The sequence below is a fragment of the Homo sapiens genome, chromosome 7 (genome assembly GCF_000001405.40).
Source record: "Homo sapiens chromosome 7, GRCh38.p14 Primary Assembly".
NCBI classification, from domain to species: domain Eukaryota; kingdom Metazoa; phylum Chordata; class Mammalia; order Primates; family Hominidae; genus Homo; species Homo sapiens.
Window position 1 is genome coordinate 104165759 of NC_000007.14, and position 22300 is coordinate 104188058.

The 22300-nt window shown below is 35.8% G+C and overlaps 1 protein-coding gene across 4 annotated transcripts in view; it reads right to left on the bottom strand.

The window, feature by feature from the left end:
* Positions 1–22300, bottom strand: part of ORC5 (origin recognition complex subunit 5) — an 81673-nt gene that overhangs the window by 39418 nt on the left and 19955 nt on the right. Inside the window, exons 7-10 of one of the 4 annotated variants that reach the window (NM_002553.4) lie at positions 18365–18413; positions 18185–18275; positions 2715–2767; positions 1014–1126 (exon numbers count right to left, since the gene is read on the bottom strand). In NM_002553.4, the coding sequence (NP_002544.1) occupies positions 1014–1126; positions 2715–2767; positions 18185–18275; positions 18365–18413 (306 nt within the window). Of the gene's footprint in view, positions 1–1013; positions 1127–2430; positions 2768–18184; positions 18276–18364; positions 18414–18454; positions 22210–22300 lie in introns of those variants that run through there. The other 3 variants (NM_181747.4, XM_047420431.1, XM_011516273.4) reach the window with 3 other exon arrangements.

Consider the following 22300-nt stretch of genomic DNA (forward strand, 5'->3'; position numbering starts at 1 on the left):
TCCTTGCCCTCTAGAAACTAAAGAGGGTCAGGTACAGTGGCGCACACCTGTAATCCTATCACTTTGGGAGGCCGGAGTGGGAGGATGACTTGAGGCCAGGAATTTGGGACCAGCCTGGCCAACATGGCAAAACCCTGTCTCTACCAAAAACATAAAACTTAGCCAGGCGTGGGGGCACACACCTGTAATCCCAGCTACTTGGGAGGCCGAGGCTGTAGTGAGCCAAGATCACACCACTGCACTCTGGCCTGGGTGAGAGTGACACTCTGTCTCAAAAAAATAAAAAAAAATAAAGTCCTGAAGAGTAGCACAAGACATGACAAAAAAATGAATAAATATAAATTGTTGTAAGTCCAAAGAAGAAAGCAAACATCATGTGAAATAGGAAACAATAAAGAGGACCTACTTTAAGATAGGTTGTACAGGGAGAACTGCTTTGAGAAGGCAATATTTAAACTGAAGCATGAAGAATGAGTAGAGAAGGAGCTTTCCAGAAAGACAGAACATACAGACAAAGACCTTAAGGTAGGAAAGAGATCAGAATGTTTTGAGGAAAGAGGAAAAAGGAAAAAGTCTAAAGTGACAAGAACATAGTGGGTAAAGAAGAAGAAAAAAACAACTCTAAACTGGGATTTCTCCAACTAATGTATGTACAGGAGAGGCTCCTTCAGTGTGATGGATAATTATTCACTACAGTGAGTTTTAGAACAACAAAGAGTTACCGCTCTTAAAATTATTTCCATCCTCCACACTTTAAACAAAACCCTATGTATTTTTTAAATCTGAATTATTACCTAAGGTATACCTGATATCCTCTTTTCTATGAAACTGCCTACCTTTTCTCAAATTTGAGGTTGTGACATTAATGTAAAGCCTTTAAAGAATGAGTCCTAAATACATATTTGGCAATCTTATTCTAATCTCTTCCCCTTAGAAATTTACAAGTGTTAAGAAATTTCAAAATATTCCTGGGATCTTAAAAAATAAAGTGAAAAGAAGTATGTTATTATTACCTTAAGAAAAAACCTCTTGTCAGTTCTTGCTGGATTGTATGAAGCAAGGTATGCAGCAATTAGAATGAACTTAGAGTAATATGGAAGTTCCACATGAGTATGCGCTGAGAGGCCTATATAACAAAACACTTTGATGAAGTACTTATTAGGCTAACATTGGGTTTTAAGTATCTCTTCTCACTTGACTTTTCATTTCCATATGGTATTCTCTAGTCAAAATGACCTATTTCCTTATTTTAAAAAGTGTCATGATAATGATGGTCGTGGTGGTGATCAACACTATTATTAATGACAGGCTTTACTCAATCTATTATTTTTGCTTGGCTCTTCTCATTCTGAAGTCTAAATCCTACTCGTTCTTCTCTTCAAGGCCACGCTCTCCATTAAACCCCTGGTGTTCCCCTACCACACCAAAATAGAGAAACTTATTTCTACTATGAATTCCTACTCTGAGTATTCCCACATAACGTGATGCCTTATATTAACAGTTAACTGTACAGGTTGAGTATACTTTATCTGAAATGCTTGGGACCAGAAGTGTTTTGGATTTTTTCAGATGTTAGAATACTTGTATATGCCAGTTGAACATCCCTAAATTCTGAAAAATCAAAGAAAACAAGCATTTCCTCTGAGCTTATGTCAGCACTCAGAAAATTTTGGAGCATTTTCTATTTGGAAGTTTTGGATTCAGAATGCTTAACCTGTACATAAATCATACCCCTTAGTAAACAATACTATTTGTTGAAGGAGCTATGTCTAATGTTTTTTTGTATCCCTACACTGCCTTGCACATAGAAAATAACTGATGAATGGATAAATATTAAAACAGTAGGGTCATTCAAGTAGCACTGATTCTTAAGGGAAGGGAAGGAATCTGATATTTACTGAAAATCTACTATGTGTCAGACACTGTGTTAGGTGCTTTACTTAAGCATCACTTTGAATCTTTGCAGTAATGCTAAATATTCTTCCTATCTCACAAGTGAAAAATTGAGCTGGGTTCAAGGTCAAACAGATAGAAAGTAGTGCAAATCAATTATTACAGATTTGTTCTAACTCTGGCATCTATCCCTTTTCCTAAAAACACACAACTAGAAGTCACTTGTAAAGCATCTGGAACACATAAAAACCAAAAAAACACAAAACAGCACTATTTCATACCATTTTCTTTAACCATCAGCCACTGACTTTTAAAAAAAAATTTTTTTTCAATATTTGCTCATTTTTTTAAGTAAAATTAGTTCTATTTAATATTTGGGATGAATCCAAAGTAGTAGTTTTCTTAAACAAAAGCACAATGTTTTCAAAACATAACCACCAAAGTGCATATCCCAAACCGATTAACATAAAATTACATTTTATTCCATAAAACTCATGAAATATAAACATAATGAGATAAAACTGTCACATAATTAGATTGCTTTAATAAAAGCATTTAAAGAAATAGAAACTGCTTGATTTTCATGATATAATCCAATATTTAGAAAATAGAAAGCTGGTATTCAAACTTTTATTTCCTCCCATTAAATTAGAGCTTCAGTTAAAGAAAAATCATTAATCAAAATAGCATTATAGCTTGAAAAGTAAATTCTCTTTTATAACACTATTTCCTGACTGAATGCTCTTTAGTATTAACTTTAGTATCTTGATAATTAGCTGAAGAAGTATCTCCGGTAACTGTCTCAATACTTCCTCTGATACCTTTCAGTTGCCCCGGATCTGTGTCATCTTTCTGTAGCTTTTCCCACTGGGAACTGAAAAAAAATAGAAGAGCAAAAATGAATTAAAAATAAATAAAATCAATATGGTGTACTTAAAACAGAGCCCTAGAAAAACTAAATTTTTTTATTTATTAACAAAACAGAAAAGAAAAATATATACATGCAATAAACATGTTTGTACCTGTACAAAATAATTTAATGTATATATTAGAATGTCATAAATTTATAAAGCAATACCTAGATATTAACTATTTTAATAATCTCTTTTACTATGATGACTGTTGTAGCTATCAAAAAACTTCACCCAGGCCGGGTGTGGTGGCTCATGCCTGTAATCCCAGCACTTTGGGAGGCCAAGATAGGAGGATCACATGAGGCCAGGAGTTCAAGCTCAGCCTAGGCAACATGGGGAAACCCCATCTCTATTAAAAATACAAAAATTAGCTGGGTATGGTGGCGCATGCCTATACTCCCAGCTACTTGGGTGGCTGAGGCACGAGAATCACTTGAACCTGGGAGGTGGACGTTGCAGTGAGCTGAGATTGTGCCACTGCACTCCAGCCTGGGCGAGAGTGAGCCTGTCTTTAAAAAAAACAACAACAAACAAAAAACCAATAAATACTACCACCTACCACTCGGTAAAACTCCCAATGTTCTAGTTACCGTATTAGATGCAATTGTCATATACTATTTCTAAACTCTATAGCAATCCCTCAAAGTAGGTATCACACCAGAAAACTGAGGCTCAAAGATTAAGTCACCCAAGGACATTTAGCCAGTCAATACTAGAGCTACGAGTCGAATCCTTGTAGGATGCTTGCAGAGTTCAAGGTATTTTAATTGCCCCATCCTGGACTTATTTGCAATTAAAACTGTTAAACAACCAAAACACTATTAAGAATATGAAGTGATTATGACACGACAAATTGAATTTATAAGGCAACACACTATAGTATAATGAGTAAAGAATGCCCTACGACAGTTTTAGCTGCATGACTTCGAAAAAATGAATAGTTTACTCATAAAAAAAAATAAGGCAGTTTGATGCAAAGGTGCTCACCAACTCTAAAACTCTCACAGAACTCTTAAAAATGAGCTAATTTACAGGGCTAATTTAAAAATAATGCCAGATTAGAACAATTAAATATCCAAAATCTGCATGAAGAACAGGGTGGAAGTGATAAGGATGAGTGTGGGCCTTCTTTGAGTATACTTTAAAAAAAGTAGTTTTAGCTTTTGAAGTATTCTTTGATGCCCATCTCTCACCTGTATAGCAATCAACAAGTTTAATTTTCCCCTTTCTCTTTTCCTTCTTTTCCCAATTTTTAAGTTGTAATATTCCTACCTTGTCAGAATACATAATATTTACATACTATTCTTCTACTCTTATTTCCACCTTAATTTTAGTTTGGAGCTAAGCTTAATTAAATTCAATGTTCATCATCAATCCTTTTGTTAGTTTCTCCAGTCATCTCTTTTTCACATCAAGGTCGTCCTAAGAAATGTCTTATGAGTAGTGTTCTCTGAGTTCTTCCATGTTTAATATTGTTTTTCTCTAGCCTTGATAGTTCAATGACAGGTTTGACTGAACATAAAATTATTTGGCTTACACTTCCTTTCTCCTTGAGTTTCTTGAAATTGTTGATCCATTTGTTTCACTTTTTCACTGACTTTCCTTTGTAAGTGACTTTTATTTTTTGCCTGAAAGCTCAGAGGTTTTTTTCTGTTATTTTTAAAGTCTAAATGCTTTCCAAGAAGTCTCTGTAGTAGGCTGAATAATGGCTCTGCCTCCAAAGATACCAAAGTCCAAATCCCTAGAACATGTGAATACATTCTTATGGGGTAAAAGGGACTTAGCAGATGTGACTGAGTTAAGGATCTTCAGATAGACATTACACTGCATTATCCAGATAGGCCCAATAGAGTCAGAAGGATCCTTCTAAGAGGAAGACAAGTCAGAGAGAAGAGAAAATGCTACACTGCTAGCTTAGAAGATGGAGAATGGAACCACAAGCCAGGGAATGAAGGCAGCCTCTAGAAGTTAGAAAAGGCAAAGAAATAGATTCTCCTTGAGAACCTCCAGAAGAAAAGCCCTGTGGACCTGTTTTAGACTTCTGACATACAAAACTGTAAGACAGTAACTATGTGTTGTCCTAAATCACTAAATTTCTGATAATTTGTTACAGTACAATATACTAGTACAGTTTCAGAATTGATCATTCTGGATTAATTGGGAAAATGAACTGTTTTAATGTGTAAAGCTAGGTCTTCTATTTCTGGAACGTTTTCTTGGATTATAATTTTAGATCTTAACTCCAATCCATTGTTCTTTTCTGTCTTCAGGAGCTCCAATTAAATATATGTTAAATCTTCTTTGTCTATCATATTTGTCACATCCTACCTGATTATTTTTACCTCTTTTTTTAGTTTTGTTCTCTTGATTATTTTCAGTCCTTTCCTCAATGTCTCTTACTATATTCTCAGTTGAATCTACTTTCCTTTGGATATCTTATTTTTTCATTTTCATTTCTGAGATAACTACTATTGCCTGAACTTTGCTCCTGAGTTTGATCAACTTTTATTTCACATCCCCCTGTTCTTTGTCCATTTATTCTAAGTTATTGAATTTCAAACTTAAAGAATGCTTTCCATACCTGAAAATGCTTTTTAAACAAACCTAAACCAAGTAAAGGTGTGGTATTGCAGTCTTCCTCTGCTTTGTTTTGGGTGTTAAGGGGGAAATGTTCATCAACTAAACTGTTTTATTCACATTTTCTGTTTCTTCCTAAATAATACCTTTACATGGCTTTTCCATGTTGTCTTTTATTCATTTTGAAATACCTAATGTTTGGCTTGGTCAGTAATAACAGGTGACTTTATGAATGCAGGGGTAAGGTTGCGGAATGGCACAATTACTTAATTCTAAAGTGCTCCCTTCTGGAAAAATAATGAAGTCAAGTTTCTTTAATATATGGTGCTATTATGAAAAGGAGGGATTAGCTTCTGATTTTGTCATTTCTTTTTTATTTGGGGGATGAGAGGAATCTTTAATTTCTATCCTTTCTTTCCATTCTTTTCCTTCATTACCAACTCTCAAAGGAATACCACACCCTTCTGAATCAACTACTTGTCTCTCCTCAAAACAGTACTTTCCCAAGACTATCATGCTAACTCTGGCCCCCATACTCTTAAAACAAAAAAAATACAAAAAATTAGACAGGTGTGGTGGCGCATGCCTATAGTCCCAGCTACTCGGGAGGCTCAGGTGGTAGGATCACCTGGACCTAGGGAGGTTGAGGCTGCTATGAGCTGTGATCTTGCCACTGCACTCCAGCCTGGACGAGACAATGGGACCCTGTCTCAAAAAAACAAAAAAACAAAAAACAAAATGTCACTTTGATTCTCCAGTAGCCAGTGCTCTAATCCTTCCAGCCTCAGAACTGTTCAATACTTTCTCACTCAGGGTTGAACTCTCTTTCTTCAAGTAATTTCATTTGTATTTCACCACTACTAGTCAACGTATCCCTTGTCCCAACAATCTTCTCTTTTCCTTTCAGTCTTTGTTTGACTTTTCACCTCAGCATGAGCTCCAGAGCTGGCCCTGTTGGTTTCAGTTGTTTACTTCACTACTGGTATATAAAATGAAGCTTGTAGCAATCTCTAACTCCTGTTAATACAGCAGGCAAGAGTTATGGGTGGTTCTATTAGCTCTCTTTATTGATATTGTGGACACAATTGAATTTAGGTGGCCATAATTATCCTATGGGACTAGAAGTCCTTTCATTATTATGTAAGAATCATTTTAACAAGCAAACAAGTTTTCCTACATTTAGAAGATCACAAGCTTTTCCATTCTATGATTTCTAAAAACTCTCATTAAATGAATTTTTGTTACTGAAAAAGGAAAAGGAGTAATAGTATCTTTGTAGTATTTCTGCTAATTAAGAAACTACCAAATTTTTACCTGAATTATAGGCTAATCAGTTAATTAAACTGAAATCAAACAAAATTATTAAGGAATAGTTAGTGATAGAATAAGGCATTCATGAGAGAAAAATGGTAAAAAAAATTGACTAGAAAGAAAAGCAGACAGTGTTGATATTTTTAGGTTTCCTATATTGATTTGTAATCTAGGCTTAATCTAATATCTATAAGACACTTCAATATTTACAATAATTTTCAGATACATTATCTAAATCTTCTAAGGACTGTTAGAGGAGAAAGCCAAAGCCTAGAGGTTTTAGGACTTGCTAAGTTCACATACGGCAGACAATGGCTGAGCTGGAAGTCAAAATCATGTTCTTCTCACACACTATGTGCCACCATGTCTCTCCTGAGCTGTTTCACTACTAAGAAATTTTAATAATAGACAAATGTCGATTTATAACGGTTCATATATTTATTTTAAAATCAAATTTTCATTATATCATTCAAATATCTAGCATAAATATGGCAAAGCTAGTACTGACTTTCCTATAGCTTTCCAGGTTAAAAAAAAAAAAAAAGGCTTTGTTACAAATTGTGTAACATAATGGAGTCACATGTGCTAAAACCCCCAACAAGTAGAGCCAGGGAGGGCCACGAAGAAAGTGTTATCACGGATAATGCTTGATAAAAGAACCATCACAAAAAACTGAAAAAACCATAACCTTGCACAAAGGCCATCATAACCTTATACAAAAATCCTGTGAGGATGTTTGCCCAGCAACTGCCTGTCAAACTCCGAACTGGTACCACCTTTGTTGTTGATCCTTGTAGCCAAGAATAATTATCTCAAAACAATTATGTAATTCTCCTCATTCTTCCTTTAAAAACCTTTGCCTCTCTTTACCTTCCTGAATATGCAGAGTTTACTACAGCATATGCATTCCCACTGCAATGCCCATCCTCAAATAGATTATCATTTTCTTTTAGAGTCCCTCTCTGTTGTTTAGGTTGACATATCTGGAGTCAGAAGTGGGACTTGCAGCAAGATCACCTTCAGAAGGAATCAGCAATTCTTAGAACTGGTATATAGTACTCACTTGAGCCCTCTGAACTTTCTGCTTCCGCAGCTCACCTTTTCTGCCCTGGTGAGCCTCCTGCTTTTTGATGGAAGCTCCTGAATTCATTCAGGATCTCATTAAGGGCACCTTAATAAAGGGCCTTGCAATCCTCTTGGGATAATAACAACTTTTTGCCTTTTCTGGCAATCCCTTTCTGGTAAGGACAAGTGTCCTTCTGGTTTGAATACTCCGGTTACTATAAAATTTGTGTTCTGTGAGGTATGTCTTTTCTGGTGAATTCACTTCTGGTTCTGCATGCCTAATTTAGTATTTTGTTTAATCTGCATACCTGGGTTTAAAATTTTTTCTTTTTTTTTTTTTTTTTGAGACGGAGTCTCGCTCTGTCGCCCAGGCTGGAGTGCAGTGGCGGGATCTCGGCTCACTGCAAGCTCCGCCTCCCGGGTTCACGCCATTATCCTGCCTCAGCCTCCCAAGTAGCTGGGACTACAGGCGCCCGCCACTACGCCCGGCTAATTTTTTGTATTTTTAGTAGAGACGGGGTTTCACCGTTTTAGCCGGGATGGTCTCGATCTCCTGACCTCGTGATCCGCCCGCCTCGGCCTCCCAAAGTGCTGGGATTACAGGCGTGAGCCACCGCGCCCGGCCGTAAAATTTTTGTGAATACTCTTATCTTGGTTTCATTTTGGTTTGGTAACACACATCTGTAAATAATTTAGCTTTTTTCCCTCGCTTATTTCTAAGAATCTACAAGAAGCAAAAATAAACATTCTAAATGGTGGGCACAGCCTAGCTAATTAAAAGCCACTACGATGGTCCCCACCATCTAAAACACTGGTCCAAATGCCTAATACTCCCTGACAAGATTTATGGGATTTTCTTTGTTCTTGAGTGATTAATAAGAAACAAAATGGGATCCTCAAATTCTAAAGGCATGCCAAAACAATCTACCTTTGGGGATTCCAGCCAGCTATATTATGGACTGTTCTTGGGCATATTTTTTAACTGATGGGCAAATTGTTACAGAAGGCAGCTAGTCAGGCATGAGCAGGACAGGAGAAGGCTCCCCCTACCCCACCAGGAACAGCAGGCGACCCTAGGGTGATGGGCAAGCTATTGTCACACTGTATCGCTAATAATTGGTCACAGCTGGCACCATGCAACGGCAGTCTCCCAATAGATAGAAACGCCTGAAACTGGTGATCAGCAGCTTTCCAATAAGATCTCAGGAGTTGGGTAGGTAAGCTCAGGCATGTGCAGTAAGAGGCAAAATAGAGGCATTTAACTAGTATATGACCTTCCAGGGACATTCCACTGGTAAGGGAAGAATACCTCCAGTGAGCATGTGTACAAGGCCAGTAAACACACTGCACATGCTCACCTCCCAAGGACTAGCAGGCCACTGCACACACATGGACAGCCAACCACAAGGGAAGAATCAGAGAAGGGTTGTAGGAACCCAGAAGTAAGCCAACATATAAAACTCTAAGTAAAAGGTCAATGGGGCACTTATCTTTCAAGTCGCCTGCTTGGCCTTCCTCCAAGTGTACTTTCCTTCCTTTTGTTCCTGTTCTAAAGCTATATAATAAATTTTCACTCCTGCTCTAAAACTTGCCTGTCTCTCCTTCTGCCTTGTGCTTCCTTGGTAGAATTCTTTCTTCTGGGAAGAAAAGAATTGAGGTTGCTGCAGGCCCAAACGGATTTGCCGCTGGTAACAAAATGACATCAAGGAAAATTTGGAGCACAATGGCCATTATTTGAACTCTTTAAACTTATTTAAAAAAACTGCAACCAACTAAAGAATTAAAATATGTAGAGCATTCTAATTTCTCTACCTCTCTATTTTTTTCCTGCCTACTTTGAATCTAGTAACTTTTTCTGCTGGTATTGAGATAAACTTGCTGCTATGGCATTCCAGCCAAGATAGAAACAAAGGGGGAAAAAGTTTTAGAGTGCTTTCAAATTATTGTTTTACAAATTACATCAGCTCCATGGCAACTGACAACCTACACATTTTCTGGAAATGTAAATTTAGGTTTGCCTTACTAACAATTGCTTTGAGTGATGGAACAGTTAATTTAAGAGTTGGATGTTCTAAAAGAAAAGAAGAGATCAATGTTTATAAGAGTTAGGCTCTCAGATCAAAGAGGTCAAAATCTTGAGCTCAGAGCAATAATATAACATTTCTCTGTCTGGCATAAAAATGGCTTTGTCTGCCATGCAGGGACTAGAAAAAGCTGAAACAAACCAAAACCACCCTGCTAAAACGCTTCCAAAACCACCCTGCTAAAACGCTTCCTCATCCACAATGACTAGTCAAGCAAATCAGACCAATAAACAAAAGACAGTTTTGTTACTAATTCTAGGATACTTGGAGATTTTTTTCTTATATAATTCAGCTAGTCCTATCTAAAAAATATAAACATTGGAATGTGTAACACTAAACTTATTTGAAACTGAAAAAAGGATAAAAAGAAGTGTTTTTAAAAATCAAACTGCTACAGAAACTGCTTTATCCAAAATGTTGGTACACAGTCTTCATAAGATTGCCTACTGGGACAAATAAAGTTTAGTCATGAGAACAGGTCCCAATTTTATCAGAAATATAGTTTGGATCCAACTATCCTTTTATAAACTGGTGTGTATATGTGTTTGTGTTTATACATATATACATATGTTGTGTCTACGTGGTAAAATCTGGCACAGTTGTCCAGAAATCCCTTAGGGCATTCTATTCAGATTGGCTTCAATAATAATGAAAACTGTTAAAATAAACAGTAATTAAACCAAATGACATGTGACTTAAATGAACCTTTAATAAATAAGCTAGTTATCTGGGAAAGGCATAGACAGGGAAAGCCTGGTTGCATTAAAAAGGCTTTACAGGGCCATTTCAAAATATGTCAAAGAAATATTTTGCGGTAAAATACTTTGATTTCTTTCGGTGTCTGCTATCTGTCATGTGATTCTATATCAGAGTCCAGTTGGAATTTGGTTTCTTATTGACACAAAGAGTCTGTTTTGTCAGTCTTACGATCTCTCTGCTTTAATGTTAATGATGGTCAGTTGTGCCTAAGCTCTAAAAGGGAGGGGCTATAATGGACGTGTCTAGCCTCCCTTTTCCTCATGGCTAGGAATAGTTTTTCAGGTTTTTGTGAGGTCCCCTTTGCCAAGCAGTCCATTTAGTTGTTGGGAGCTCAGGATTTTATTTTTTGTGTACAGTAGTTCAATACTTTTTTAAATATAAAAATAAATAAGCAAGCTGGTTTTAAACTTGTTGATAAAATAAAAATAGAAATGTCTTCAGAATTGTCGGCATAAACTTTTGCCGGGATTTATGGGCCGGGCAGTTTTATATTTGTCTCTACTAGACAAGAGGTTTTAATAAGGTATAAGGGTTTGACACAGAAGTACAAAACTATAAACTCAGCCTAAATACAGAACAATCTTTGTTTGTGTAACTCTTTGATAAATAAGACCAATTGAATATTGTTGGTTTAATAAAAACAGCTGTGTCTCCAAAGTAATCAGCAAAATACCCACAACTTTAAGATTCTCACTTAGGTGAACACCTGATATTCATAGGCTATAAAAATGATTAACATGGAAATAGCTTGAACTAATGACTAGCCTTGCCTAATGCCTCAGTTTTCGTAAGAAATCTACTTATACTTGTTAAAAATAAATAAATTAGATGAATGTAGGTGGCATAAACATTTACAAATAGTTGAATTAAATAATACTCATTAAATGTCTGAATCACTTCCAAATAAGAAAAAATACTGAAATATAAATTACTAAACATAAGTTTGTTCTTGGCTTCTTAAAGTCTAAGAAAAGACTATATTTGGGACTATCACTACACATAAAAGTTAGGTTATAAACATATTTATAAAATTACAAAATTGCTCATATCTATAAAAAACTGACATGTGACAAAATTTCTTGCTTCCTAGGTTTTTACTAGAAATTGAGGTTACTAAAAGTAACCTTAACAATTCTAACATATATAATTCTGTACACAAAGTATACCCCCAAAAATAAGATGTGTTTTTAATGAGAATTATTGTTTTTTTAAATTTTACTTTAAGTTCTAGCATACACGTGCAGAACGTGCAGGTTACATAGGTATACATGTGCCATGGTGATCTACTGTACCTTTCGTCCCATCATCTCAGTTTTAAGCCCTGCATGCATTAGGTATTTGTCCTAATGCTCTCCCTCCCCTTGCCCTCCACCCCGCAAAAGGCCCCAGTGTGTGATGTTCCCCTCCGTGTCCATGTGTTCTCATTGTTCAACGTCCACTTAGAGTGAGAACATGCAGTGTTTGGTTTTCTGTTCCTATGTTAGTTTGCTGAGAATGATGGCTTCCAGCTTCACCTATGTCCCTGCAAAGGACATGAACTCATCCTTTTCATGGCTGCATAGTATTCCATGGTGTTTATGTGCCACATTTTCTTTATCCAGTCTATCATTGATGGGCATTTGGGTTGGTTCCAAGTCTTTGCTATTGTGAATAGTGCTGCAATAAACATAGGTGTGCATTTGTCTTTATAGTAGAATGATTTACAATCCTTTGGGTATGTACCCAGTAATGGGATTGCTGGGTCAAATGGTATTTCTGGTTCTAGACCCCTGAGGAATCACCACACTGTCTTTCACAATGGTTGAACTAATTTACACTCCCACCAACAGTGTAAAAGCATTCCTATTTCTCCACAGCCTCACCAGCATCGTTTCCTGACTTTTTAACAATAGCCATTCTAACTGGCTTGAGATGGTATCTCATTATGGTTTTGATTTTCATTTCTCTAATGACCAGTGCTGATGAGCTTTCTTCATGTTTGTTGGCCACATAAATGTCTTCTTTTGAGAAGTGTCTGTTCATATCCTTTGCCCACTTTTTGATGGGGTTGTTTTTTTCTTGTAAGTTTGTTAAAGTTCCTTGTGGATTCTGGATATTAGACCTTTGCCAGATGGGTAGCTTGCAAAAATTTTCTCCCATTCCATAGGTTGCTTGTTCATTCTGATGATAGTTTCCTTTGCTGTGTAGAAGCTCTTTAGTTTGATTAGATCCTATTTGTCAATTCTGGCTTTTGTTGCAATTGCTTTTGGTGTTTTATTCATGAAGTCTGTGCCCATGCCTATGTCCTGAATGGTGTTGCCTAGGTTTTCTTCTAGGGTTTTTATGGTTTTGGGTTTTACATTTAAGTCTTTACTTCATCTTAATTTTTGTATAAGATGTATGAAGGGGTCCAGTTTCTGTTTTCTGCATACAGCTAGCCAGTTTTCCTAGCACCATTTATTAATAAGGTTACTAAAAGTTACCTTAACAATTCTGATTAACATATATAATTCTGTACACAAAGTGTATCCCGAAACATAAGATGTATTTTTAATGAGAATTCTTACAAAGCCAAAAAAAAGTGTTCTTTATTGAGAAAAAAGAATAATTTTGTCAAAATTCTGAAGGTTATTTAAGGTTATTTTAGAAAGTAAATTTAAGAAAACAGAAACATGACAGAAAGGAACCAGTAAGTAGGAGACACAGATGTGCAAAGTTAAGGGTATAAAGATGTATTTTTGGTAAAAGAAGGTTAAAAAGAAAAGTGAATTTTTTTTTTTTTTTTTTTTTAAGAGACAGGGTCTCACCATGTTTCCCAGGCTGGTCTTGAACTCCCATGCTCAAGCAATTGTCCTGCCTTGGCCTCCCAAAGTGCTGGAATTATATGTGTGAAGCATCACACCCAGTCAAAAAAAAGGATAAATTTGAGAAATAATTTTGTGTGGTAAATAGTTTGTCCTAAATGTAGTTATTTAAAAGTATAAGAAAATAACTAAAGATCTAAGCATGTCATGGATGGTTTACGTAAGTCATTACAAGGTTTGTGAAGGGTAGATTTATTAAATTTGTGTGTGATCAAGCTGGCTGTAATTAGAAGGGAATTATTTGTAAGTCTTTCCAAAGATTAAACTTCGACATAAATATATCCCTCAATCCACAATATAAAACTAAAACTTTGGTCCACTATATTAGAAAGAAGTTTTTTTTTTTCCTAAGTATTGATCTGCTCTTAGTAAAAATTAGAGGTTTTCACTTTGAATTCTGAAATCTGCTTCTTAATAGCCATCTTCTAAACTGCAGTTTTTTTTGTTGTTTTTTTTTTCTGTTTCACAGTCTTCATTTAATTTTCTAGTTTCACGTTAGTAAAGCTGTCTTCTTCACTTAGGATGGTAATTTCATTTCTTGAGGTAGAGTTTTCCTCTTAAAGCTTCTCAGACTTATATCTCAGAAGTTTAATGTTTGCTGCATCTTACTGCATGTCATACATCACTGCTTTCAACTCTTTCTCCCCTTGAGAAAGTACACCTTTAATCTTGATTGAGGTGATAACTCTCTCTTTTAACTTTTTCATCAGCTCCTGTCACTTTTTTCCTCTGATTATAACTCTGCTGTTAAAGTCTAACTCTAAAATGTTTGTCTTGATGGCCTACAAAAGCAATGTTTTCCTCCAGTATAACTTGATTCTGTACACTTGGCTTTTCTTAATGTGTCTGAATTATTCCATGTAACCAGAAAAGTTCCCATGCTGTTACTAAAAGCCATGTACTTCCCTGCTCAAGGTACTAGTTTTCTGTTTACACTCATAGTGTGTTCTCACAAGCTTGACCACACATTCTTCCTGTGTCTGATTAAATTCAAGTACTGTTTTCACTGGGTTCAACTTCCAGGTTATCTAAATGGGCTTCCCATAAGGAGAAGCAATCATACTGCAAGAGGTTTTTCTTTACTTTTTTGGTAACTGTCCCAAGAAACAAATATTTTGCATTTTATCAAGATAACTTTCTGTGTTTTCTTACTAGTTTTTTATTTTTTATTACTCAGGAAAATAGCTTTGAAAGGGTTAATGTTTTTTAAATCCAGGTAACTTTCTATATTGCTTTTGAAGTCCTCTGATTATCATTCTGGTTAAATGAATGACTATCATTTCACAGTGACCTGTGATCCTGTTTTGATCAGGTGTTTTAAACCTTTTCACATCTTTGATAGACCTCCCTCCCCAATATCAAAATTCTAAATTAAATATTTTTGACCTAGAACTAACTTGGATTTTCTAGCTAGGCCCCTGGAAAGCCTCAAAAGACATATTTTTCATATTGTAAAGATATTAAATGATTAAATTTATTTTGTAAATTGTGTAAGAAGCATTGCCAAATGGTAAGTAATACTGGATCTTCTTTCAGTTATATTTATAGGTATGTGTTTAATATCAGTGTAAAATTACATAAAACTTAGAGATCTAATATATCATCAAGTCATAATTGTGGTCATTATATGTATGCCACAAAAATCATCAAATTTCCTTGTCAATTTCTGATTATGGTAAACTTTCATCAAATTTTTATCCATGGCTATTCTAAGTCTCTGTCATCCTACAGTTATTGTTCTGATTTTTATCTAAAAGCATTTGCAATCAGATTCATAAAATAAGATTCTAACAAGTACTCTTAAATACAAGTTTCTAGTAACTTAAAGATCAATGGACTCAATAAAAATCTATCAGAACTCTAATGAAGAAATGATGGGCTCATGAAACTGCTAATCAAGATCAAACAGAACAAAAATTAATTACATGAGATTGAATAACTGATGAGGATGTTTTTATGATTTTTATTTGAAACATTAGTTTTTTGCTTGTTTTTGTTTTCCAGATTTGAGAAAATTTTCTCTCTTAATCTACCTATAGTTTATAGTTTTATGGAACTGCTAATTAGCAATTTAGTAAAGTATATTTTGTGAACCAAGGTGAAGCACCTGCTTTTTCTCCCCATTTCATTCCTCTAAAATTCAAAAACTATTCATGGGTATTTTTTTTCTCCTTGAAAATATGTTTATTCACTAAGTTCAATAAGAATTTGCTCTCTCTTTATAACAGGATATAATTGGAAACACTGGTTATATTACCAAGACTTTGACTGTCATATCATATTAGAAAATGTGCACAGAGGCCGGGTGTGGTGGCTCACGCCTGTAATCCCAGCACTTTGGGAGGCCAAGGCAGGCAGATCACGAGGTCAGGAGATCAAGACCATCCTGGCTAACACGGTGAAATGCTGTCTCTACTAAAAATACGAAAAAAAAAAATTTAGCCAGGTGTGGTGGTGGGCACCTGTAGTCCTAGCTACTCGGGAAGCTGAGGCAGGAGAATGGCGTGAACCCGGGAGGAGGAGCTTGTAGTGAGCCGAGATCGCGCCACTGCACTCCAGCCTGGGCGACAGAGCGAGACTCCGTCTCAAAAAAAAAAAAAAAAAGAAAATGTGCACAGAATTGCCTGGTTTCAAGGATTCTCAGCCTTACAGTGAGTGAGTAAAAAATGCCACTTCCTGGCAGGCCCAGGAACTAAAATCTTAAATCGGCCTTGGTTTGACTTCCTAGACTCAAGAGGTTTTAAAATCTATGTGATCAACATAGAGAGAAAAGGTTATGTTTCTTTAAAAAAAGCTATAATGTACCTGTTATTAGTTTGCAGTTTTATGCATTGTATTTGAGTTTTAATCAACCTGTAGCCTAGACTAGATTCTAAATTCTTCTAGGTTCCCCCAATCCAACTTTCTTCTATAAAATTACTAAAAAGGGGGACTACTTTGTTCCTGAAGCCTTATACATTGAAGCTAGATGAATTTTAAGGAACAAACCTTGTACCTGATGTGTGGACCACACAGAAGGGTCAACAAACCACTAAATGCCATAACCAGAGACAGTCGAACTGCAAAGCAGGATAAGAAGTTGACAGTTTCATGATAGAAACAGTTTTTTCGAAGATATTAGAACAAGACTCCACATCATAATGAGACTCTTACTCCTCTTAATGCCTACCATTTTCACTTGATAGGATAATGGTATAATTGAAATTTTACAATTAGCAGCTTCTGCTGGTAAGTTGACAGAACCTGACCTAAAAGATTCTTTAGTCCATCTAGTGGGCAACTTTGGCAACATCCTTAATACAATTGTTGCTCACTCTGCTTTGTTTCAACTCAGTCATGTAATACTAGATGATAAACGGATTGGTTACATAAGGAAATGTCGGTGTTACCGCTAATACCACAAGCTGTACCCGAATAAATTCCTCTGGAAAAGGTGAGACCCATATATACCAAATAAGAAAATAGGCCACATGGTTAGAAGTCTCACCTAACTCTCTGTGGTCATTTGATTTATTCAGTAGGTTCCCTTTAAGCGGAGGTTCACAGTTCAAAAGCACTATACAAACTGAGATTGTCATATTACTATACATTTTACTTTGTATTTTCCTTTGTAAACTTTGTACTTGTTGCCTGTCAAATTTCTGCAGTGACCGGGTGTGGTGGCTCACACCTGTAATCCCAGCACTTTGGGAGGCCAAGGCAGGTGGATCACCTGAGGTCAGGAGTTCGAGACCAGCCTGGCCAACATGTTGAAACCCCGTCTCTACTAAAAATACAAAAATTAGTCGGGCATGGTGGTGCGTGCCTGTAATCCCAGCTACTCGAGGGGCTGAGGCAGGAGATTCACTTGAACCCAGGAGGCAGAGGTTGCAGTATGCCAAGATTGCGCCATTGCACTCCAGCCTGGGCAACAAGAGCGAAACTACGTCTCAAAAAACAATTTCTGCAGAAGTACAACTCCTAACAGAACAATGCTGGCCCAAGCACTTTGCAATGATAGCCAACACCTATGGAACACACAAAATTAACTTAACAACGGACTCTAGGTAGACTCAGCCACTCCCTTCAAACCTCCCTTGTGGCTAAAAGAGTTCTGACACTGACTCCTAGCCACCATTCACTCCCTTCGACATGTGAACAGACAACAACCCAGGACAGCTCCGTTCTGGCACCAAGGGACAATAAAAATCTAACTACAGGATGACTGATCAGCAATGATTTTGGAGAAAAATCTTGATTAAAAGAAAAAAGTTGTCAGAATCAAAATGGGGTCACATGTGTTAAAAATCCTGACAAACAGAGCCAAGAAAGGCCATGAAGGAAGGGTTCACATGCATAATGTCTGATAAAAAGAACTATTACAAAAGACAGGAAAAAACATAACCTTGTATAAAGGCTAATGCAATCTTCCACAAAAAATACCTCCATGAGGACATCTGCCAGGCAAATCCCTGTCCAGCTCTGAACTGGCGCCATCCTTGTAATTGATCCTTGTAGCAAAGAATAATTATCTCAAAACAATTATGTAATTCTCTTCATTCTTCCTTTAAAAACCTTGTCTTCCTTTACCTCCCTGAAGATGCAGAGTTTACTACAGCATGTGCTTTCCCATTGCAATGCCAATCCTCAAACAGATATCTTTTTCTTTTAGAGTCCCTCTCTCTGTTATTTAAGTTGAGAGAGTATATATCCCAAATAAAGATATAAAAACTAGTATGCATACTAAATAGAAAATTACCTTGATATTTCCCTGAGATAAACAGTCTGCATAGCTTTCTTCAAATGAGGTTCAATATTTCTCCACAGTTTGCGAGTATCACGTTCACTTGCTACCCCAAAGGGAAGAAAATTTCAGTAATTTATATCTTGTAAAAACCTTTCTCAAAATAAATATTAATGAGTAAAATTACACAGTTACCTTCTCCTTTAACCACGGGTTCACAATATTTAGGAAAATTAAGTACTGCCTGTAAGTAAAGAAAAAAAAAGAGAAGAAAAAAAGCACTGATCGATCACAATTAGAAATTTATTTTTCAAGTAAAATCTGTATTGCAGTTCAGGAAATTTTACTTAACACATTTGCTCAAGTCAAATGTAATTATACGCAGTGGCATGTGCCTGTAATCCCAGCTACTCAGGAGGCTGAGGCAGGGGGATTGCTTGAGCCCAGGAGATCAAGCCTGTAGTGTGCTGTGACTGCACCTGTGAACAGCCACTGCACTCCAGCCTGGACAACATGGCAAGACCCTGCTTCTTTCTAAAAAAAAATGTAATTGTAGCTTATTACTATAATAACAAAACAGCAAAAATACTAATAATGACAGCACAACATAAAATATTCCTTAATTGGCTAAATTCTGCCTAATACATTAGCCTCTGTATACAAAATTAGGAGAATGGAGCATCTCACCAAAAATATACTTCTTTGGTATATTTTGATATGGCTAATCAGAAGGGCTGCAAGCACAAGAACAGCCCTGAAAAGCTGTATTTTGTGAGGGAGATTTGCATCTGTAGAGGAAATAAGAAAACAGCAGATGCAAACAGGCTTTCTCTGATCACCCCCCACCTTGGATCTAGGAAAGATTAACTCTCAAGAAAGAGACTTGAGGGTCTGACACCTTTGAAGGTGTGACAGAGAAACTTAGCACAGGCTACCATCTATTCTTTCTGAAAGTTGCTGCCTATGAGGTTTCATTTGCACAAGACTGCCTTCCCTAACCAAGTCTTTGCTCCTCTCCCTCCAATAACCTGTTATGCCATGCTCCAAGCCCATTTTCTTTCTGTAACCTCAGGATGTCATAAAAATTTGAACCAGCTGGCCCCCCTTTCTGCCCCCCACCTTTTGAGTCTCATATTTTGTGTAAGGCTCCTGTGCCCATATGCATATTAATAAATTTGTATGCAATAGCTAATGCATGCAGGGCTTAATACCTAGGTGAGGGGTTGATAGATGCAGCAAACCACCATGGCACGCATTTTACCTATGTAACAAACCTGCACGCCCCTGCACATGTATCCTGGAACTTAATATAAAATTAAATTTAAAATTAAATTAAAATTAAAAAATAAATTTGTATGCCTTTTTTTTCCCGTTAATCTATTATTAGTTTGTTTTATAGATTCAAATTATCAAAACTGCAGGGTAAAAATGTGAACTTCCCTACAGTAACAAAGCATAATTTGTTCTTTTAGGTTATATTTATGTCACATAGAACCATAAAACATATAATGAAAAACCTCAAGCACAAATAATTAACTGTTGTTTTCTAAGGTCTGAACATTCTCATAAACTAAACATCATTGAGTTTCGTATGACTCAAAGTATTTGGATTGGCAGCACTACCTGCGATTGTTATAAATGCAAGTTCTTGGCACCATCTCAGGCATACCAAATCAGAATCTCTGAGGATGAGACCCAGGAATCTATGTTTAACGATCTCTCTAGAAACTCTATGTATTCTAAAGTTTGAGGAGTACTAATTAACTAATTATAACTACTTAGTAGTTTTCCATGAATCAACACTGGAATTCTACTGAACAGCAGTTTAAGCAAACTGGTTAAAAACATACTAATTCCATTTATTTAAAAAAAATATATATATATTAGTTTGTTCCCAAGTATTTCATATCAAAATAATTCAATAAGGCACAGAAAAAGATATATATAAATGTGTAACTATATAACATATAACTAGATAACAGAAAACTAAGAACCAAATCATTAAAATAATTTCTTCCTATTCTACTTCATAAAAAACAATGATTTAAAATAGAAAAATCTTCCAAATTCTACTAAGTGTAGAGAAGAAGAATCAAAAAGAAATTATTCGCTTTAGCCAAACTTTCTTACCTTAATTTTAGATTTTCAGATCTAAGCATGGTGTAATAACACTAAAGTGTCATAATGTTAACAGCAACTGGTACACAATTTGGCTAATCAAAATAAACAACTGACCCTTGAACGACATAGGTTTGAACTGTGAGGGTCCACTTGTCTACAGATTTTTTTTTTTTTCCAACCAAACACAGATCACAAACACAGATCAAAAACAGTACTCAGGGAATACAAAACCCATGTATATGGAGGGCTAACTTTTTTACACTCAGGTTCTGCGGAGTTGATCGCAGGGTTTGAGTGTGCTAGGATTTTGATATATATGGGACTGGTCCTGGAACCAATCCCCCAAGTATACCAAGGGGCAACTGTATTGATTTTCTCTTTGGTTGAAACACTAAAATATGTTTAATAATTTATGAATAACAGTTAAAAAGGCAGTATCATAAGGTTTGTTAGAGAAAACAAACCTAAATGAATATCAAAGTAGTACTTCATTTTCTCCTATCTTAAGCTACCTATAGAACTAGCCTCTGAAAAATACAGAAATATCAATTCATAAAGCATCTTTCCAGAAAAGATCCCTGAAAAGAATATTTTTCAGGTGATTTAATAAACTTTCAAGAAATATGCCACTTACAAACTTTGAAACAAACACAAACAACACTATCTGAAGAAAAAAAAGAAAATGAATATCTTTATTCTTCCATGTTCTATATATAGAGAAAACTAAGAACATTGTGCTATTTTTCTCTAATGTTTAAGGATCCTTTTCTCTATTATTACCAATAGTAGTATAAGACTTAAACCATACTACACATTTATGAATATTATTTTTTAAAAAGCTGTAACCTCACCCTAAATAAAATCATTCCACAGTGAAACTCGAAGAACTTTAAAAAATACCACATTTAAATATATATTTCTCTCTTTACATTTTATTTTCCCATAAATATTTTCCCTAAATTTTTCCTTCTTGTACTTTATAATCTACTTTGAAATGGCTGTCAGCACAGATTCCCACAGGATTCGAGTGCTAAAGAGTGGTAACTGCAAGTTACTTTCCAGGAAAGACCGAGGAGGATTATCTGCTCCTAAGTCCATCTCACTCAGGTGCGTTTTCCTGACCCTCTCCTCTCTGTAAGTCTCTTGTGTTATCATTTCCCTCAGAAGCCAGGGATCCCAAGACATCCAACTTCTAGAGGAATGTTAGTGATAAGCTTGAACTGGAAAAACTGTTTTGTTTTTTCCCAGCTGAGAAGATGTCTGAAATCTACATGTAAATCAGAGGAGCCCTGAAATCTGAAACTTTCAAAAACATACTAAATGTGAGCATAATTTTAAATGATTGCCTTCTGTGTTCTGTCGCAAACACACACTGAAACTAAGTAATACTTTTCAGGGCAAAAACAGAAAAAGAACAAAGTGAAGAAAATGTGCTAAGAGACATAGAATCTGTTACTTTGAAAGTGACTGTTTTCCAGCCTCAGATATATTACTATTTTCTGTTAAATGGAGATAAGATCTTAATTAATTGAAGATTTCTAAAAGGGAAAACAGAAATTCTTGTCTCTTTCCTTTCCCATCCCTACAATTAAAACAAAAAAGGTCAAAGAAAAATTAAACATCAACATTTTCCAAACTGTCTATGAAATATAAACAGCTATTCTAATTGTTAAAAAAAAAAAATTAAAAAGAACCATCTATACAAAGATTACCAGCTCAGGGTCAGTGGTTAATGAAAGACCTGCAATGAAAGCTTCTGACCATACTCAAATCCATCTAGATTCTAGACCTCAATCACCGCATACATAAAACTTGAACAAAATCTGTTACAAAATATTAACAGAGTTGTAAAACTGCTCAAGTTTTTACATCTCTTTTCTGTTATTCCTCATTTTGATTTTTATGGAGTTCTGCATTTTCTGCAATTAGAGAAAAAACAAGGAAGAGTAAGAAGATCTGAGAATGACATTTTTCTGATCAGATCAAACAATCAAAGTTTGTACTAACCCA